Below are 18,928 nucleotides of genomic sequence, written 5' to 3' on the forward strand. Positions count from 1 at the left end.
TTCTAGCTTGGAATGTCTGGGGAGTGACTCAAGAATTTGCCTTCTTTTACAAGCTTCTCAGAGAATGCTGAGGCAGGAACCCCAAAGAAAACACTTAGAAAGTTCTATAGTGTTCTGGACTTAAAAATATGATGGCTGTGTCCCCACAGTATATTTAGGCTTTGGTTCAAATTATATCTGCACAGAAAAGCCTATCCTGAAAACTCTTCCTAAAATAACTCAGGTTACAATCTATGAACTTACCAGGCTTTATATTTCTTCCTAGCACTTAACTGAATTCGATTTTGTATTTATCTTACTCAGTCTCCTTCACCAGACTGTATGTCATATCAAAGCCAGCACTTTGCCTGTTTTGTTCATTGATGTGTCTCCATTGCCTACAACATGCCTGCCATGGTGTAGAAGCTCAAAAAATATTTTCAAAGAAGTAAATTACTCAATATGGAGTCAGGGATTGAATTCTGCCACAATACTATATGGCAAATGTCTATTACTTTTATAAAGAGAACTCACCATTTATAAACTGGATTAAATCTCATTAGATCAAGGGAAATAACTCTGGATAGAGAAAACAGGAACCCTGTTTCTAGGGAAACTAATAATTTTTTGCCACCAGGCCTGCTCAAAGAGAAATGATTAAGGAAGTTCGCACAAAAAGGAAATAACTAAAGGAAATATTACATCAGGAATGAAGAAAAAGGAACAGAAAGGGTAAATATATTATAAAATATAATATTCTTTTGAGTTTTAAACATTGGGTTTGCTGGTTGGAAGCAAAAGTTACAATTTTACTTGATATGGTTCTCAGTGGATGTAGAGATGCTTAATATCATTTTGTGTTAGGGGTGTGTAAGTTGAGGCCATGATCATATACCACCACACACCTAATAGGAAAGCTAAAGCACACTGGCAATGCCAAGAGCTAGAAAGGGCATGGAATGCTTACACATTGGTGGTGGGAATGTAAACTAGTACAGCCACTCTGGGAAAGAGTTTGGCCATTTCTTATAAAGTTAAACACATTTACCATATTCGCCAGCAGTCATGCCCCCAGTGTCTATCCCAAATATATAAAAACTTAACGTTCGCACAATATCGGGTACACAAATAGTCACAGCATCTTTATTTATAACAGCAAAACACTGGAAACAACCCAAATGTCCATCAACAGTGAATGGATACACAAACCCTGGTGCATCCATTTAAAAGAATACTAACTCAGTAACAAAAATTAAAACTATTTAGACACCTAACAACTTGGATAGATCTTAAGGGTAATTTGCTGAGTGAACAAAGCCCTATCTCAAAGCTTGCGTACCTTACGATTCCATTTTAATAGCATTCTTGAAATAACAAAATTAGGGTAATGGGATCAGTGGCTACCATGGGTCATATTGGGAGGACAGTGTGAGTATAAAGAGGTAGCAAGAGGAGGCCAGGCGTGGTGGCTCATGCCTGTAATCCCAGCACTTTGGGAGGCTGAGGCGGGTGGACCGCCCGGGGTCGAGAGTTCAAGGCCAGCCTGGCCAACACAGTGAAACCCCGTCTCTACTAAAAATACAAAAATTAGTCGAGCGTGGTCGTGGGTGCCTGTAATCCCAGCTACTTAGGAGGCTGAGGCAGGAAAATCTCTTGAACCTGGGAGGCGGGGTTGCAGTGAGCCAAGATCGTGCTATTACACTCCAACCTGGGCAACAAGAGCAGAACTCCGTGGTTTTTATTATTATGGTTATGTAAGATAACATTGATGATGCTAAGCAAAGAATACTCAGGAAACTTTTGTATATTTTGTAATCTCTTGTGAATCTAGAATTATTTCAAAACAAATTTTAGAAAAATAACATTTAAGGCATTTTTGTAAACTACATAATGGTACCTAGTAACTTGGATAAACACATCCAAATATACTGAATTACATTTATCAGTAAATTGAAAAAAATAAATTTGGGGCCTATAATATGTAAGAACTAATAAATAACACCAGATTGGCACAGAAAACACCTGTGTTATATATAGGATTAAAATTTAATCAGTGATAAGAACAGCCCGCTTTACAATTATGGAATCATTGATAATATGATGCAAGGTATGCTGTCACAGAATAGATATCAAGTGTATCATGAGTTTAGATTTGTGACAGTCCTCAAATATGGTTTTTTTTTTTTTTTTTTGAGGCAGAGTTTCGCTCTTGTTGCCCAGGCTGGAATGCAATGGCGCAATCTTGGCTCACTGAAACCTCTGCCTCCCAGGTTCAAGTGATTCTCCAGCTTAGCCTCCAGAGTAGCTGGGATTACAAGCGTGAGCCACCATGCTCGGCTAATTTTGTATTTTTAGTAGAGAGGGGGGCTTCACCATGTTGGTCAGGCTGGTCTCGAACTCCCGACCTCAAGTGATCCACCCACCTTGGCCTCCCAAAGTGCTGGGATTACAGGTGCAAGCCACCATGCCCGGCATTATGTATCATTTTCATGAGACTTTTTTACTTCATGAATTTCCTGATCCTTTTTAAAGTTACTCTTCATATAAGTTTTATTTCTGTATGAAGTAATGATGATGAGGCAGCATGTATCACTGAAATCCTCGTGTATTCACTGCCATCTGAAACTTGTTCTCCAGTATGAAATATATCTGCCAACTGTTAAGGTTTTATTTCTGGGCAAAGGCTTTCCCATGATAATGCTGCTAGTATGTGTAAGTTCATTGATGATCTATTATGATCACTGAAGAGATAGGGTCTTTCTTCCCATAGAAGGCTTTCCTAGCCTACTCCTTTGTAAGATTTATCTCAGTAAATACTTTTCAAGACATAGTTACTTAGAAAATTTTCAAGACTTTTCTGCATTGGATGTATCAAGTTTATTTCCTACATGTTTATTGTGACATAAAATATGAGGTAATTAATCACCGAAGGCACTAGTGCATTCTCTGCATTCATTAAAATTCGCTCCTGGAAATTGCATTGTCTTCCAAGGGTGAAAATCTAGCAACAGGCTGCTCTACACTGCCTATATGCATGTATGCTAGGAGCACACTGCTGTTTAATCAGTTCACATTACTAACGTGGTTTTCTCTCTGCATGAATTTGTTTGTATGTAATCAGTTCAGATTCTCTGCAAAAGGACTATGTACCTTACACATTTGTCATGTGGACGTTGTCATAGTTTTAATGAAGGTTGACAAATGAAAGGTTACCCCCAATCCACAGACTCTCTCTCAGATGAGTAATTTTCTATACATTGGTACATCAAAGAATTCAGAGCCTGAATTCATGTTGAAGCCTTTCTGACATTGATAGCATTCATCCTAGTGAATAACACTGGATTTTGAAATATGATTTTTCATACTCAGTACACATGTAGAAAATCTATACTGTGAAATCTCTGATGTTGTACAAGGCAGATTTTCTTCCCAAAGGCATGAACATGTCCACTGCATTGTCAGGGTTTGTTTCCATTATGAGTTCGCTGATGTACAATGAGATTTCTCTTTGAGGAGAAGGCTTTTCTACATTCACTGCATACAAAGGGTTTCTCTCCTGTATGAGTTCGTTGATGAACAATTAGACGGCTCTTCATAGTGAAGCCTTTACCACATTCATTACATCCATAAGGTTTTTCTCCAGTATGAACTTGCTTATGTAAAGCAAGCTCTGTTTCCTTGGCAAAGCCTCTTCCACATTCACTACATATACAAGATTTCTCTTCTGTATGAATTTGCTGATGTACAATGAGATAGCGTTTCATGGTGAAGCCTTTTCCACATTCACTGCACATAAAGGGTTTCTCTCCAGTATGAGTTCGCTGGTGTACAACAAGATTGCTCTTAAAGGCAAAACCTTTTCCACATTCATTGCATATGTACGGTTTCTCTCCAGTATGAGTTCGCTGATGTAACATCAGTCCGCTATTCACAATGAAACCTTTCCCACATTCACTGCACCTGTAAGGTTTCTCTCCAGTATGAGTTCGCTGATGTACAATCAGCCGACTCTTCAAGGGGAAGCCTTTCCCACATTCACTGCATGTGTAGGGCTTCTCTCCTGTATGAGTTCGCTGATGTATGATGAGCATGCTTTTCACAGTAAAACCTTTTCCACATTCACTACATAGATATGACTTCTCTACTGTATGATTTCTCTGATGTACAATAAGATTACTCTTCCTGGGAAAGCCTTTTCCACATTCACTGCATATGTAGGGTTTCTCTCCTGTATGAGTTCGTTGATGTTCGATCATACGGCTCTTCATGGTGAAGCCTTTCCCACATTCATTGCATATATATGGTTTCTCTCCTGTATGATTTCGTTGATGTATGATGACATAGTGTTTTGTGGTGAAGCCTTTCCCACATTCACTACAGATGTAGGGCTTCTCTCCTGTATGAGTTCGCTGATGTATAATAAGCATGCTCTTCCCAGTGAAGCCTTTTCCACATTCACTACATATATAGGATTTCTCTCCAGTATGATTTCGCTGATGTACAATGAGATTACGCTTGCCTGGGAAGCCTTTTCCACATTCATTGCATATGTAGGGTTTCTCTCCAGTATGAGTTCGCTGATGTTCAATCAGACGGCTCTTCATAGTGAAGACTTTTCCACATTCACTGCATATAAAAGATTTCTCTCTTTTATGAATTCTTTGATGTTCATTTAGCCTGGACTTTCTGGAGAACACTTTTGCACACAAAGTACATCCATAAGGTTTTTCTCCTGTATGAACTCTCTCATGATCAGTGAGCTGAGACTTCTTGACAAACGCTTTCCCACATTCACTGCATACGTGGTTTTTTTCTATTTCATGAGTTCTCTGATGCTTACTGACTTGGGATTTAGTGCTATTGGCTTTTGTACTTACAGAGAATTTAGCTGCAGAATAAAGTTCTTCATAGTTACCATGAAGAAATGATTTCCCATCTCCACTAAATTTAGTAGAGTTGTTAATTTCACAGCTTTTGTTCTGGTTGACTAAACTTAAATTTGATTTCAAAGTTTTTATATATAACTCAAATGTATCATGATTTTCCCTGAAAAGACAAAGGCTTTTGGTTTGAGAGGCAGTATTTCCAAATGCATTATGTTCATGGTATTGTTCCACACTCTTCAGCATCCTTTGATTTTCCAAGTGATCCTGCAGATGATCATCAACTTCGTTGTTTTCTAGGAAAGAAGAGAACAATGAATCCTTTTATAATCTTGTTGGGGATAAAACTGTCTTCTTAGAAAAAAAAATCCTTGGTGTTTTATTTTGTTTATTATTATTATTTTTTGAGACAGAGTCTCGCTCTGTTACCCAGGCTGGAGTGCAGTGGTATGATCTCAGCTCACTGCAACCTCCGCCTCCTGGGTTCAACCAATTCTCCTGCCTCAGCCTCCCAAGTAGCTGGGATTACAGGCATGTGCCATCATGCCTAGCTAATTTTTGTATTTTTAGTAGAGACAGGGTTTCAATATGTTGGCCAGGCTGGTCTTGAACTCCTGACCTCCAGTGATACCCCTACGTCGGCCTCTCAAAATGCTGGGATTACAGGCATGAGCTACCACACCTGGCCAGGTGTTTTTAAATATCGCTATTTAATGACAATACTACAATAATAGTATAAAAGCAACTTCATGTATACACTTTGGTAAAAACATAATAATATAAACAAACCAAAAAGTAAAAGCAGTCTGTGTGCAAATAAGGTGAGGCAGTTGACAATCTATATCGATTTGACAGCTTTCTAAACAGGACCTTGCAAAACATGCGGACACAGTAAAATACAAGCAAGTCATTATTACAAGCAAACAACAGGGCTTGGAGGAACACCATTCCACAAAATTTTGGGAGACACCAGACCACAAAGGTGGAAAAGGCAACTGATTCACAATTCTGAGGGTTGTATTTATTCACTCCACTAGTTATTTGTCAAATGACTCCTATGGACAAGGCACTCTGCTGGCATTTGGGATACACAAAATATGCCTTCTTTTCACTCATGCTGAATTCTAATTAGGAAAAACAATACGAAGGAACAAAAAAAGAAGGGAGTTGGTGATGTTAAGTGTGGTTTGATGGAGCAGTGTAGATGATGAGAGTTGGAGAAAAGCAGGATATTTTTGTATAAAGAAAAGACAAGGTTAAATGATGAATTCAATGGGGAGAGTGAGGAAAGTGAGGGCTCAAAGATTACTAACTATATGGCTTGAGCCACTGGGTAGATGACAGCATCTGATAATGAGATGGCAAATATTACTGCAGTCCAGCACATGTAAAGTATATACTGTGAAACACACTTTGAAATGGTTATCAAATATGTAACACAGACATCAAGAATCTGGTTGGAGGTATAAATGGAGAAGGCAGCATGGAAATAATCAGTACATACATATTATTTGAGAAAAAAGGACTGAATGACTTTTTTTTTTTTGAGACAGGGTCTCACTGTCACCCAGGCTGGCATGCAGTGGCACAATCTTGCATCACTGCAACCTCCACCTCCCAGGCTCAAGCAATTCTCCCACCTCAGCCTCCTGAGTAGCCGGGACTACAGGCACATGCAACCATGCCTGATTGATTTTTGTATTGTTTGTAGAGATGGAGTCTTGCCATATTGCCCAAGCTGGTCTTGAACTCTTGGGCTCAAGTGATCTGCCCACCTCTGCTTCCCAAAGTGCTGGGACTATAGGTGTGAGCCAAGGCACTGAGCCAGGATACCATGTTGAGAAGACATGTAGAATGAAAGATGAAGGTACAGAACCAAGGTTGTAGACATTCCAACATGTGGTTTTGGGATTATTTAAGCCCTGTTAGAGGAACCAAACTGTGAATACAAAGATCAGGGTAATATGCTTACTGAGATATATAGAATAAATACATTCACGTACATGTTGCCTGGCAAGTAAGAATTGGAAATCTCCATCTGTTGAAATTAAGTCAACTGAGATAGACTCTTGTGTGGTAATTGTTACTAAATTTGCCCCTCTTCAATCTGTAGACTACCATCTAACTTTCCAAAAACATCCATCACGTTTAATGAACAACTCCTATAGTCAACACTCCACCCTTTGGTTTAGCTGTGTTGCGTTATCATATGTTTCATTAATTATGAAACAGGAAAACAATGATAGGGAATTTTGCAACTGGCCAGTGTACCATGTAGTTGCCTTCAGAAGAAAATGTGCTGCTGCATGGGATATGAAAACTGTCATTTTCTTCAATCACATTCTGCATGCAGTAGAAAAGTCGTATCAAGGCCAGGCACGGTGGCTCACACCTGTAATCCCAGCACTTTAGGAGGTCAAGGTGGGCAGATCACTTGAGCTCTGGAGTTCCAGACCAGCCTGGGCAACATGGTGAAACACAAAATACAAAAATTAGCCAGGCATGCATGGTGATATGCGCCTGTAGTTTCAGCTACTTGGGATGTTGAGGTGGGAGGATCGCTTGAGCCCAGGAGGTTGAGGCTGCAGTGAGCCAAAATCGTGCCACTGCACTCCAGCCTGAGCAACAAAGTGAGACTCTACCTTAAAAAAAAAAAAAAAAAAAGGTCATATCCAATTTTTCCCATTTCAATGTCCCTGATACACTGTTTCCTCATCTGCCACCAATAACATCTACTTCAGTAAGCTACATTTATGTCTCAGCATCAGTTAAGTTGTACTAAAGGATAAACTTCTTCTAGACAAAGGTTGTGGCATCTTCACCTTCAGTTTTTCTTAAGATATTTAGCTGTTTCTTATTATTGCTACACTGCTGTCATCCAAGTGAAAGGTCAAGACTAGCAACATATTTTATGAAAAGACAAAAATATAAAATTAACCAACCCTCAACCATGCTACCTCAATTACTCATATATACAATCAAAAGTCATCTTGATAAAAAAAAGTTTACATTACCATGAATATTACCATGTTTCTGCTCCACGATTTCTCCAACAAGCAGCTTCTATCACTGACCTGTATTTGGCCAACTTGAAGCCAATCTTTTGATAGTCAGGCCCATGGCCTTGCACAATTCCTATTTCATGCCTTCATTCTTTTTTTTGAGATGGAGTTGTGCTCTTGTTGCCCAGGCTGGAGTGCAATGGCACAATCTTGGCTCACCACAACCTCTGCCTCCTGGGTTCAAGCAATTCTCCTGCCTCAGCCTTCCTGAGTAGCTGGGATTACAGGCATGTGCCACCATGCCCGGCTAATTTTGTATTTTTAGTAGAGAAGGGGATTCTCCATGTTGGTGAGGCTGGTCTCAAACTCCCGACCTCAGGTGTTCCCCCCACCTAGGCCTCCCAAAGTGCTGGGATTACAGGCATGAGCCACCGCACCTGACCCATGCCTTCATTCTTAATTCATGTCACCATCTTCCTAATTCAAAATCTAGATATGCCTTGTGCACATCATACTCTTGCTGCAATTCTGACTATCCTGCCATATGCTCTATGTTCTCTGTATTCCTTAATTAACCCCTTTATTGTTAATTTTTATGGTAATCTTCTGTGTAGTGAGGATCTAGCTCTAACCTCATCCAAACAGAGATCTAGCATTTGTTCTTAGCTATTAGGAAATGATCTCTAGGCCCCTGGAATGTCCTGGCCCATAGGAGTGTCTTTGTTTGCCTGGTGGCTTTAGCCACTGGACAGTTTAACAATATGATTTGTGATAGGGGCTTTGGCCCATGCCATATCACTTCCAGCCTTTGGAAAAACTGGACACTCTAGGTATTAGCCTGACTTCCAGGAGAGGCTGAAGACTAAAAGTCAGCCATGTGGGCTGTATGTGACTGAAACCTAATCAAAACTCTGGCCACCAAAGGCTCAAGTGAACTTCCCTAGTTGTCAATACTCTGTACTGTCACACACTGTGTGGCTGGGAAGAGATGTAACATCCACAGTGAGAGGAGGACCAGAGAAGTACTGTACTTGGACCCCCTCCTGGACTACAAATGACCTGGCAATTCTACTCCTAGGTGAAGGCTCAAGAAAAATGAAAACATACGTTCCTAAAAAAGTTGTACATGAACGTTCATAGCAGCATGATTCATAAAAGCCAAAAAGTAGAAATAACCCAAATGTCAATGCAATAGATGAATTGATAAATAAAATGTGGTATATCCATACAATGGAATATTATTCAACAATAAAAAGAAATTAAGCACTGATACATGCTAAAGAATGGAAGAATTTCAAAAACATTATGCTAAATGAAAGAAGCCGGACACAAAAGACCATATATTTCATGATTCTATTTATATAAAATGTCCAGAACAGGCAAATCTATAGGGATAAAAAGTAGAGGCCAGGCACGGTGGCTCACACCTGTAATCCCAGCACTTTGGGAGGCCGAGGCAGGTGGGTCACGAGGTCAGGAGTACGAGACCAAACTGGCCAACATGGTGAAACCCTGTCTCTACAAAAACACAAATTAGCTGGGCATGATGGTGCGCGCCTGTAATCCCAGCTACTTGGGAGCCTGAGGCAGGAGAATCGCTTGAACCCGGGAGGTGGAGGTTGCAGTGAGCCGAGATCACACCATTGCACTCCAGCCTGGGTGACAGAGTGAGACTCCATCTCAAAAAAAAAAAAAAAAAAGAAAAGAAAAGAAAAAGAAAGTAGATTAGTGATTGCCTAGGGCTGGGGGCTTGGAAACAATTTTTTTTTTTAAGTGATACTTTGAAAATCTTCCAAAATTGACTATGGTGATGGTTACATAACTGTTCATACACTACAAAGCACTGAAAAATAAACTTTAAATTGGAAAATTGTATGGTATGTAAATTATCTAAGCTGTTGAAAAAACAAATCTATAATGGGAAAAACACATTAGGGAAATGAATACAATGCTACCGTCTAAGATGAACTAAAGGAAAAGTAGAAATCAAATGTACAAAGGAAGTACTCTGAGACAGACATAAGTTATGACCTGGTTTGGTCTAGAACTGATGTAGGACATAAAACAGTCCTTTCTAGGTAAACAGTAAACAAAAATAGTAGAGACTTTTAAGAAGAGAACTCCATAGGTAGAGGACATTCAATACAACACCAGCACAGACAGGACAGATGTATGGTACTAAAGGAGAATGCAACCTTAAAATAAGATGGGAAGGGTTTCTTGTGGAGGGAAAACGATTCCCATTCCTAATGTAGGCACTGCTTCTGTGTCCTCAGACACCCACAGAGCCTTCTTTCACTGACTATAATATTACTTACGCATCTTGCTGCTTCTCACATACCTGGACAGATTCGACTGTGCCTTTCATCTTCCATTGTCCATGGTTCTTCTCCTCGTTCCAACTTGGAGAGTGCATCTGGTTTGCTGACTTGATAACCTGTTTACGGGAAATAATAGAAGACAGACACACTGGATTGGGCTGGGGTATGTAATGTGAGAGAATGTTACATTTAAGTAACTAGACAGTTTTCACATCTGAAAGTAGAGGCTTCTCTCTCAGGAAAGGGCAGATTACAGTCAGACCTTAATATCTGAAAATTTCACATCCAGGGATTCAACCAACCATGGATTGAAAATATTTTTTAAAAAACAATAAAAAATACAATAATAAAAAAAAATACAAAGTGCAGTGGCTCTTGCCTATAATCCGAGCACTATGGGAGGCTGACATGAAACCAACATTTGAAGCCAGGAGTGGGAGACCAGCCTGGGCAACATAGACTCCATCTCTACAAAAAAAAAAAAAAATTAGCCAAGCATGGTGGTTTGCACCTGTAGGCATAGTTCCTCAGGAGGCTGAGGCAGGAGGAACACTTGAACCCAGTTCAAGGCTGCAGCGAGCCATGAAGGCACCACTACATTCCAGCCTGAGTGAAAGACCGAGACACTGTCTCTAAAGAAAAAATAAATAAATAAATTAATTAAAACATATAGTATAACAACTATGTACATAGCATTTACATTGTATTAAGTATCAGGCATAATTTGGAGATGATTTAAAGTATTCAGGAGGAGGTGTGTGTAGGTTATATGCAAATACAATGCCATTTTATATGAGACTTGAGCATCTGTGGATTTCATATCCATGGAAAGTTGTGAAACCAATCCCTCTTGGACACTGAGGGGTGACGGTATATCCTTTTATCAGAAGCCAGAGGATGTGCCAAAAATCTAATATTCAGAGCACTGCAGTAACTTCCAAGGGTAAGCAACTGAGAAAGCAAAGGCCACAGACTGGGCACCCTCCAGGTGACACAGAGCAGCTGTCCTCACCCATTGATAGCAGGTTGCTGTAGATCTCCAACATCACATCCCGGTACAAATCCTTCTGAAAAGGGCCCAGGAGCTGCCACTCCTCCCAGGTGAACTCCACAGTAACATCCTCCAGTGTCAGCAATTCCTGTAAGAAAACAGAGCCTTGCTTAATAGGAAGTGTTTCTCTTTTACTGACATGAAAAGAAAGTGAAGGGAAGTTGTCCCGCTCACATTAAACATATAGACTGCATCCATCTATAAGTCTATTGTATTTTTTAATATTGCCAGAGAATCTCCAAGTATTCTATAATTGCACAGTGCCCCATTTGCTCAACAAAAATTAAGGTTTTATATCAAATCCTCTCAGTAAAAGCGGGTTTTATGTATAAATTTTAATTTTGGTATCTATTGACCAGTCAAGAAAGTATATGCTACTGACATCTAGATATCTGATATAAATTGTTTCATTCACTGTTAAGCCTTCCCAGCTAATACTAGCATAAGACATAGAGAGACTTCAGATGCTAGAACCACAGGATACTACATTCATGTTTAATTGTTAAATGGATTAAAAAATAGAAATGTACAGAAAACATGAGAAACTATTAAAGAGTAACCAAATTGGGAAAACTTATTCTTGGAAACATACATTAAATATATATGTATGCACACATACATATAAATATATGTTTATGTATATATACGTATACAGTCACAGGTATATGTGTCTATTAACAGAAAGGTTATATTAAATACACTGAAGAGATAATTAGTGAGTTGGAATTCACAGTAAAAAAAATAACAGGGCCAGGTGTGGTGGCTCACACCTGTAATCCCAGCACTTTGGGAGGCTGAGGCAGGCGGATAGCTTGAGCTCAGGAGTTCAAGACCAGCCTGGGAAACATGGTGAAATCCTATCTCTACCAAAAAGACAAAAATTAACCAGGTGCGGTGGCACACACCTGTGATCCCAGCTACTTGGGAGGGTGAGGTGGGAGGATTGCTGGAGCCCAGGAAGTTGAGGCTGCAGTGAGCTGTGATCATGCCACTGTACTCCAGCCTGGGTGACAGAGTGAGACCCTATCTCAAAAAATTAAAATAACTGAAAAATGAAGCAGAGACACAAAGTGACAGAAAGTATGAAGGAGACTTTACTAAATATGGAAGACAGAGTGAGGCCTAACATATGCCTATACATAGTTTTTGAAATATTATATTCAAATAAGAGAAGCAATTTCCAAATATCTGACTGAGAAATTTTCAGAACTGATTAAATATCCTATAACTCAAATTTAATAAATCAACAAAGCCAAGCAGAAAATCTGCATCTAGACACATCAGACTGAAACTATTGAACATCAGATGCACATATAACATTATGCAAACAACTGTTAATAGAAGGAAAAGATGCATTACCATCAAAAGAAAAATAAAATGTCCTAACAACTGACTTCCACAGAAACAAAAGAAGCAAGAAAAGTGCAGAATAATGTCTTCAATGTCCTGATTCTGTGGCAATTGGCAAATTGTATGGTATGGCCTAGCCCTGAATGCCACTGGAAAATAAATTGAGACCCTCTTGTCAACTAAACTGCCACTCTCCTGTCTCAACATGACTTATAATCACATGGTAGTAGGAACTTGAGGCAGGAAAGAGCTAGGTGCAAATTTGTGGGGAAAAGCAAGAGAGATCAGATTGTTACTGTGTCTGTACAGAAAGAAGTAGACATAGGAGACTCCATTTTGTTCTGTACTAAGAAAAATTCTTCTGCCTTGAGATTCTGTTAATCTATGACCTTACCCCCAACCCCGTGCTCTCGGAAACATGTGCTGTGTCAAACTCAGGGTTAAATGGATTAAGGGCGGTGCAAGATGTGCTTTGTTAAACAGATGCTTAAAGGCAGCATGCTCCTTAAGAGTCATCACCACTCCCTAATCTCAAGTACCCAGGGACACAAACACTGCGGAAGGCCGCAGGGACCTCTGCCTAGGAAAGCCAGGTATTGTCCAAGGTTTCTCCCCATGTGATAGTCTGAAATATGGCCTCGTGGGAAGGGAAAGACCTGACCGTCCCCCAGCCCGACACCCGTAAAGGGTCTGTGCTGAGGAGGATTAGTATAAGAGGAAGGCATGCCTCTTGCAGTTGAGACAAGAGGAAGGCATCTGTCTCCTGCCCGTCCCTGGGCAATGGAATGTCTCGGTATAAAACCCGATTGTATGCTCCATCTACTGAGATAGGGGAAAACCGCCTTAGGGCTGGAGGTGGGACATTCGGGCAGCAATACTGCTTTGTAAAGCACTGAGATGTTTATGTGTATGCGTATCTAAAAGCACAGCACTTAATCCTTTACCTTGTCTATGATGCAAAGACCTTTGTTCACGTGTTTGTCTGCTGACCCTCTCCCCACTATTGTCTTGTGACCCTGCCACATCCCCCTCTCGGAGAAACACCCATGAATGATCAATAAATACTAAGGGAACTCAGAGGCTGGCGGGATCCTCCATATGCTGAACGCTGGTTCCCCGGGTCCCCTTATTTCTTTCTCTATACTTTGTCTCTGTGTCTTTTTCTTTTCCAAGTCTCTCGTTCCACCTTACGAGAAACACCCACAAGTGTGGAGGGGCAACCCACCCCTTCACAAATTGATGGGATAATCTATCCCCATATAATCACAGAGATTAATACACAGAGAAAAGAACAGACTTGCTGAAGTCTGCAAATTCTTAATGCTGCTGATCTCATCACATTCGGGAATTATTTCACACGAGAAATAAATCTGTTTGAAAAAAAATGTAGGTTTCTACCTAATTTCATACTCAAAAATAAGTTTTTCCTGTTTAAAGTCCTTACCAGAAAGCAAAAGAACCTGTGGAAGCAGAAGCAAATACGAAATATATTCATGTTAAAAGCCATAAAGGAAAAAAAAGGGACAAATTTTATGAGAAAAAAAATTTAATTTCTACATTGAAAAACAGATCATAAACAAAGCTGAAAGAAAAATGACAGGCTAAAAAAAACTTTGCAATAAACAAAAGATCAATATATAGTAGATATAAGCAACTCATTAGCCAGTAAGAAAAAAGTTTTTTTAATGTAAAAATCATAAAGTCAGGCATTTCACAAGAGAAAAAAATCCAGTTGGCCAAGAAATACACAAGAAGGCTTTCAACCTCACCTGTGATGAGGAAAATGCAAAATAAGACAAAAGAATATTGGATCATTGAAAATTGTATAATTTGATAATGTCATATTTTTAAGTATTGGCAAAGATTTAAGGCACAAAGGACTCCATGTATCAGTTTCTATGTGGCAGGCACTCATCTAAATACTTTACATAGTTTAACAATGTTTTCATGTATGACTTTAGACAAATGGAATTTTATACAGTCAATATTCTTCAATTAATTGCAGTGATTATTCCTTTATATTCTAAAACTACACCACCTAAGGTAGGGGTGTCCAATCTTTTGGCTTCCCTGGGCCACACTGGAAGAAGAAATGCGTTGGGCCATGCATAAAATACACTAACACTAACGATAGCTGGAAAAAAATGCAAAAAATTCTCATTATAAGAAAATTTACAAATTTGTGTTGGGCCACATTCAAAGCCATCCTGAGCTGCATGCAGCCCACAGGCCACAGGTTGTACAAGCTTGATCTAAGGTGACCAACAGGTGGAATGTGATTCCACTGAAGCAAAAGAAGTCATAATAAATGTGTTTATATATGCAGACACATACATAAAACACATGGATTTATAAATACACATATATACAGAGATGCACACATTTCAGTGACAGCAAGTATGTGCTACCAAACATTTGTTGAAGCAGTATAAGAGGATTAGGAAGAAAGTTATGAAGAGGGAATCTACTTTTACTTTTTTTACCTTTTTTTTTTTTTTTTTTTTCGAGACGGAGTTTCGCTCTTGTTGCCCAGGCTGGAGTGCAATGGCATGATCTCGGCTCACCACAACCTCCACCTCCCGGATTCAAGCGATTCTCCTGTCTCAGTCTCCTGAGTAGCTGGGATTACAGGCATGCGCCACCACACCCAGTTAATTTTGTGTTTTTAGTAGAGATACGGTTTCTCCATGTTGGTCAGGCTGGTCTTGAACTCCCGACCTCAGGTGACCCGCCTGGTTGGCCTCCAAAAGTGCTGGGATTACAGGCGTGAGCCACTGTGCCCGGCCCGGAAATTTACTTTTTTAACCAGTGTGTACTTCATCATCAGAATTTATTTCCCTGTGAGGCCAGGTGCAGTGGCTCACGCCTGTAATCCCAGCACTTTGGGAGGCCGAGGCGGGTGGATCACCTGAGGTCAGGAGTTCGAGACCAGCCTGGCCAAGATGGCAAAACCCCATCTCTACTAAAAATACAAAAACTAGCCAGGCATGCAAGTGCACACCTGTAATCCCAGCTACTCAGGAAGCTGAGGCAGAAGAATCCCTTGAACCCAGGACGTGGAGGTTGCAGTAAGCCAAGATCACGCACTGCACTCCGGCTTGGGCAACAGAGTGAGATTCCATCTCAAAAAACAAAAACCAAAAAAAAAAAAAAAAAAAGAATTTTTTCCCTTTGGATTCCATGAGTAATTTATGTAATTACAAAAAATAAAAGCAATATAAGTATGCAAGAATTGGAGGTGAAAATGCAGAAGGATATTGTATATTCTGAGATGAGGTGAAGTTATCAAACATGGCACCCAACGACTCAAGACCTTATCAGACAACTCCCTAATGCCAAATCTGCAGTTAATGCCAGTTCAGCCACATGTTCAGGAAAATGGAAGCTATGCACACCTTCCATTTTCCTAGGTCACTTAGATTTTATTCCTAAATAAGCTCACACAGACACGCAAGACTTGAGTGTGTGGCCTTGCTTTCGTCCCCTAAAAAAACTGTTTCCACTGAGTTTGCCTGGTCTATTTCCATAGGAGTCTCTGAGGAACCGTGTAATAAACAGCAGTAAGAAATCTTCTGCCTTTATTAGAAAGCTAGTTCAAAACACTGTTCACCATATCACCTCTGGGAAGAATAGCAAATTTTTCTTGAGATCTAAGTGCCATGAAATAATAATCTCCTGAGGAACCTGTCTGCTTTCTCCCCACAGTCACTGTATAACTTAGTGTGACTTTCTTGTACTGGCTGTCAGAGACATCAGATGCAAACTGAGAGCTAAGGTAATGGAAAGGATCTTCTAGTCAGGCATTATTTTCCAACATCAGTCATTTTGTAGGAATCACATAAACACTATATTCCTGATCTTACTTTGCCATGATGTTGGAGTTAGATTTAAAGTTTATTTCTCTCTAGATTCTGAAATGATTTCTTACGGGTCTCTACAAATCCACTATGGAATAAAGGAGAGAATAAAATAGAGAAAAAGTCACCTGGGCATTGATCATTTTCTTCTGTTGTGGGAAATGGCCAGCACCTGGGATACTCTGTCTTTGTCTCCTCTGGATCTGCCTTAAATTTCTATTTAGAAACTTCAGTCACCAGTGAAGGGTGTCCACAGAAATCATATCTAGGTCCTGGAATCTTCCTCTTTCTTCATTTACTTCTTGTCTCTTCCCAGGGTAGCCAGGACCTGTGGACTGAAGAGCAAAACAACTTTCAGGGGTACATTCACCTTAACACGTGGCCCTGAATATTTGTCTCTTTATTTGGTTCTCTCAAACCAAGGAAACACAAGACCCTCAATGTAGGCCAAATGCCTTTCTTCGGTGAAGTGTGGAAGTAACATGAAGATGAAAGGGGAGGTCACAAAGGAGAATCCACATAGCATCATGCCTAAGCAGTAGGTAATTCTCATATCAGTTTTTTAAATCAGGCCATATGGATGGTGAGAAACTACATTTTTTCCTTTATACAATGTTACTCTCACACCTCTTTAAAAGTCTTTATATATATTTAAAAGTGTTTATATACGGCCAGGCATGATGGCTTACACCTGTAATCCCAGCACTTTGGGAGGCCGAGATGGGCAGATCACCTGAGGTCAGGAGTTCGAGACCAGCCTTGTCAACATGGTGAAACACTGTCTCTACTAAAAATAGAAAAAATTAGCCAGGCATGGTGGCAGGCACCTGTAATCCCAGCTACTCGGAGACTGAGGCAGGAGAATGGCTTGAACGCAGGAGGCGAAGTTTGCAGTGAGCCCAGCCATTGCACTCAAGCCTGGGCGACAAAAGCAAGACTCCATCTCAAAAAAAAAAAAAAAATGTTTATATACACACTTCAATATGAAGAACAAGAAACACATAGAAAAAAAGAGGGAGACAGAGAAAAGGAATACGAGTTATAAATACAAATTTAGAAAACAATTCAAAAATATAAATACTGGGAAAATAGCCGCCTTTATATACTAACATACAAAACCTGAAACACCCATAAAAATATGCAGTACATTTGCAAGAGGAAGGATAAAAATAGGCTCTTGTTAATTTGTGCGCAGTAATTTAAAAACATAATGTTAAATAGAAAGCCTATTCATCCGCCCCCCTTCACCCCCAAAAAACTTTCATTTTCTGCAGGTTCAAGAGCATGGGTTGTTGTGGAAAGCCAGAGGATTAGAAAACTCATTGTGGAGGAGGTACTCGGACCTGAAACTTTTAGGAAATGTTAACGTTCATCAAGTCTGTTCCAGCCAAAGTTTGAGCTCAACACACACACACACACACACACACACACACACACACACACACACACACACACACAAAACCAGCCAGGGCTCTTGTGAAAAGACTTCGGCTTTCACTTGTCTCTAGACAAAAGACCACCACCCCGCCAGATAAAATAGGAAAACCTGGAATAGACACACACGTACACTGGATTCCCTTAATGATTCATCAATCACTAAGCCTCAGATTAATCCAGAATGTGAAACAGAAGTCACATTCGTTGACAAAAGCCACCCCATCGATTCTCAATCACTGAGCCCCACTGGGGAGTGACCCGCGAGGACCACAATCCCTGACCTCAGTACTCTTGGTCGTTGATCTATTCAGGCCTTTAATCACTGACCACCAGAGCCTCCATGAGGGACCCCAAAGATATCCTATCACAGACACCCACCAGGGACTCCTACCAGCTCCCCTCCAAAAGGAAACACCCGCCCCCGCCTCCCCCAACCCCCGCGCTACCTCCACCATATAGCGCCACCAACAACGCAGACGCCCTCAGAAAGCTCCCTCCCACCACGTTTCCACGCCCTGACCCACACACTGACCTGACTCTCCTTGGAATCGCCGCGACCTCTTAAAAGCTGAACTTACTTCCCTAAACTTCTTCCACTTCTGGGCCCCTCGCCCAACTCCCTCCCCCTCTAAACCTCCAGAGACGGTCAGCCGCGTTTCCATGGAGAGCGGAATGCGGCCTTCCGGCTTTTCCTCAGGAGGAGACGCGTCCGCGCCGGCGTCGCCTCGCCGCTCTGGGGGCGGCCATCTTTGAGTACGTGACGTACAGAAGGCACAGCGGCCGGGAGACGCGGTGGACGGAGGCCTCTTAAACTGTCCGATTTCCAGACACCTCAGCCCTGGCAGAAAATGGAGAGCTTATCAGAGGCTTGAGTTCACACAGGCAGACACGGCGTGGGGGTAAAGTCCTCTGAACAGACACGGAACAGAAATAAGTTAGTCTTCTCCTCGCAGGGGACAGTGAACGGCGCAAACTTCTCAAAGGCCAGAACCCATTATTACCACAAAGGCGCGGCATCCCTTCTTAGCGGTTATGATGGCTGTGACGT

General features: G+C 40.7%; 1 protein-coding gene across 4 annotated transcripts, besides 1 other annotated feature; it reads right to left on the bottom strand.

Moving 5' to 3' along the window:
- Positions 1-1,095: 1,095 nt before the first annotated feature.
- On the bottom strand, positions 1,096-18,556 carry ZNF432 (zinc finger protein 432). 4 transcript variants are annotated; one of them, NM_014650.4, is made up of 5 exons: positions 18,413-18,556; positions 16,572-16,778; positions 11,198-11,324; positions 10,206-10,301; positions 1,096-5,158 (listed from the first exon to the last, which is right to left on the bottom strand). In NM_014650.4, the coding sequence occupies exons 2-5, from the start codon at positions 16,584-16,586 to the stop codon at positions 3,438-3,440; spliced, it is 1,959 nt and encodes a 652-aa protein (NP_055465.1). In that variant the 5' UTR covers positions 16,587-16,778; positions 18,413-18,556; the 3' UTR covers positions 1,096-3,437. The 4 variants fall into 4 exon arrangements, with proteins under 4 accessions (NP_055465.1, NP_001309213.1, XP_024307574.1 ...); NM_001322284.2 differs by lacking the exon at positions 18,413-18,556 and adding an exon at positions 18,327-18,358; NM_001322285.1 differs by lacking the exon at positions 18,413-18,556 and adding an exon at positions 18,259-18,279 and having other exon boundaries at positions 1,097-5,158.
- Positions 18,339-18,928: an enhancer, noted in NCBI's record as "active region_15035". NCBI's record gives its function as "activates an Ori minimal core promoter by ATAC-STARR-seq in GM12878 lymphoblastoid cells {active_cell/tissue: GM12878}" and the evidence as "EXISTENCE:reporter gene assay evidence [ECO:0000049][PMID:35858748]".

Source organism: Homo sapiens, chromosome 19 (assembly GCF_000001405.40).
Source record: "Homo sapiens chromosome 19, GRCh38.p14 Primary Assembly".
NCBI classification, from domain to species: Eukaryota; Metazoa; Chordata; class Mammalia; order Primates; family Hominidae; genus Homo; species Homo sapiens.

What these genes read in the sequence shown, in the direction of transcription:
- ZNF432 (NM_014650.4), bottom strand. An exon ending in CAGCAACCTGCTATCAATGG is followed by an intron (nt 10,302 to 11,197) that starts GTGAGGACAGCT and finishes TCCCGTAAACAG; the next exon opens with GTTATCAAGTCAGCAAACCA. An exon ending in GCACAGTCGAATCTGTCCAG is followed by an intron (nt 5,159 to 10,205) that starts GTATGTGAGAAG and finishes CTTCTTTCCTAG; the next exon opens with AAAACAACGAAGTTGATGAT.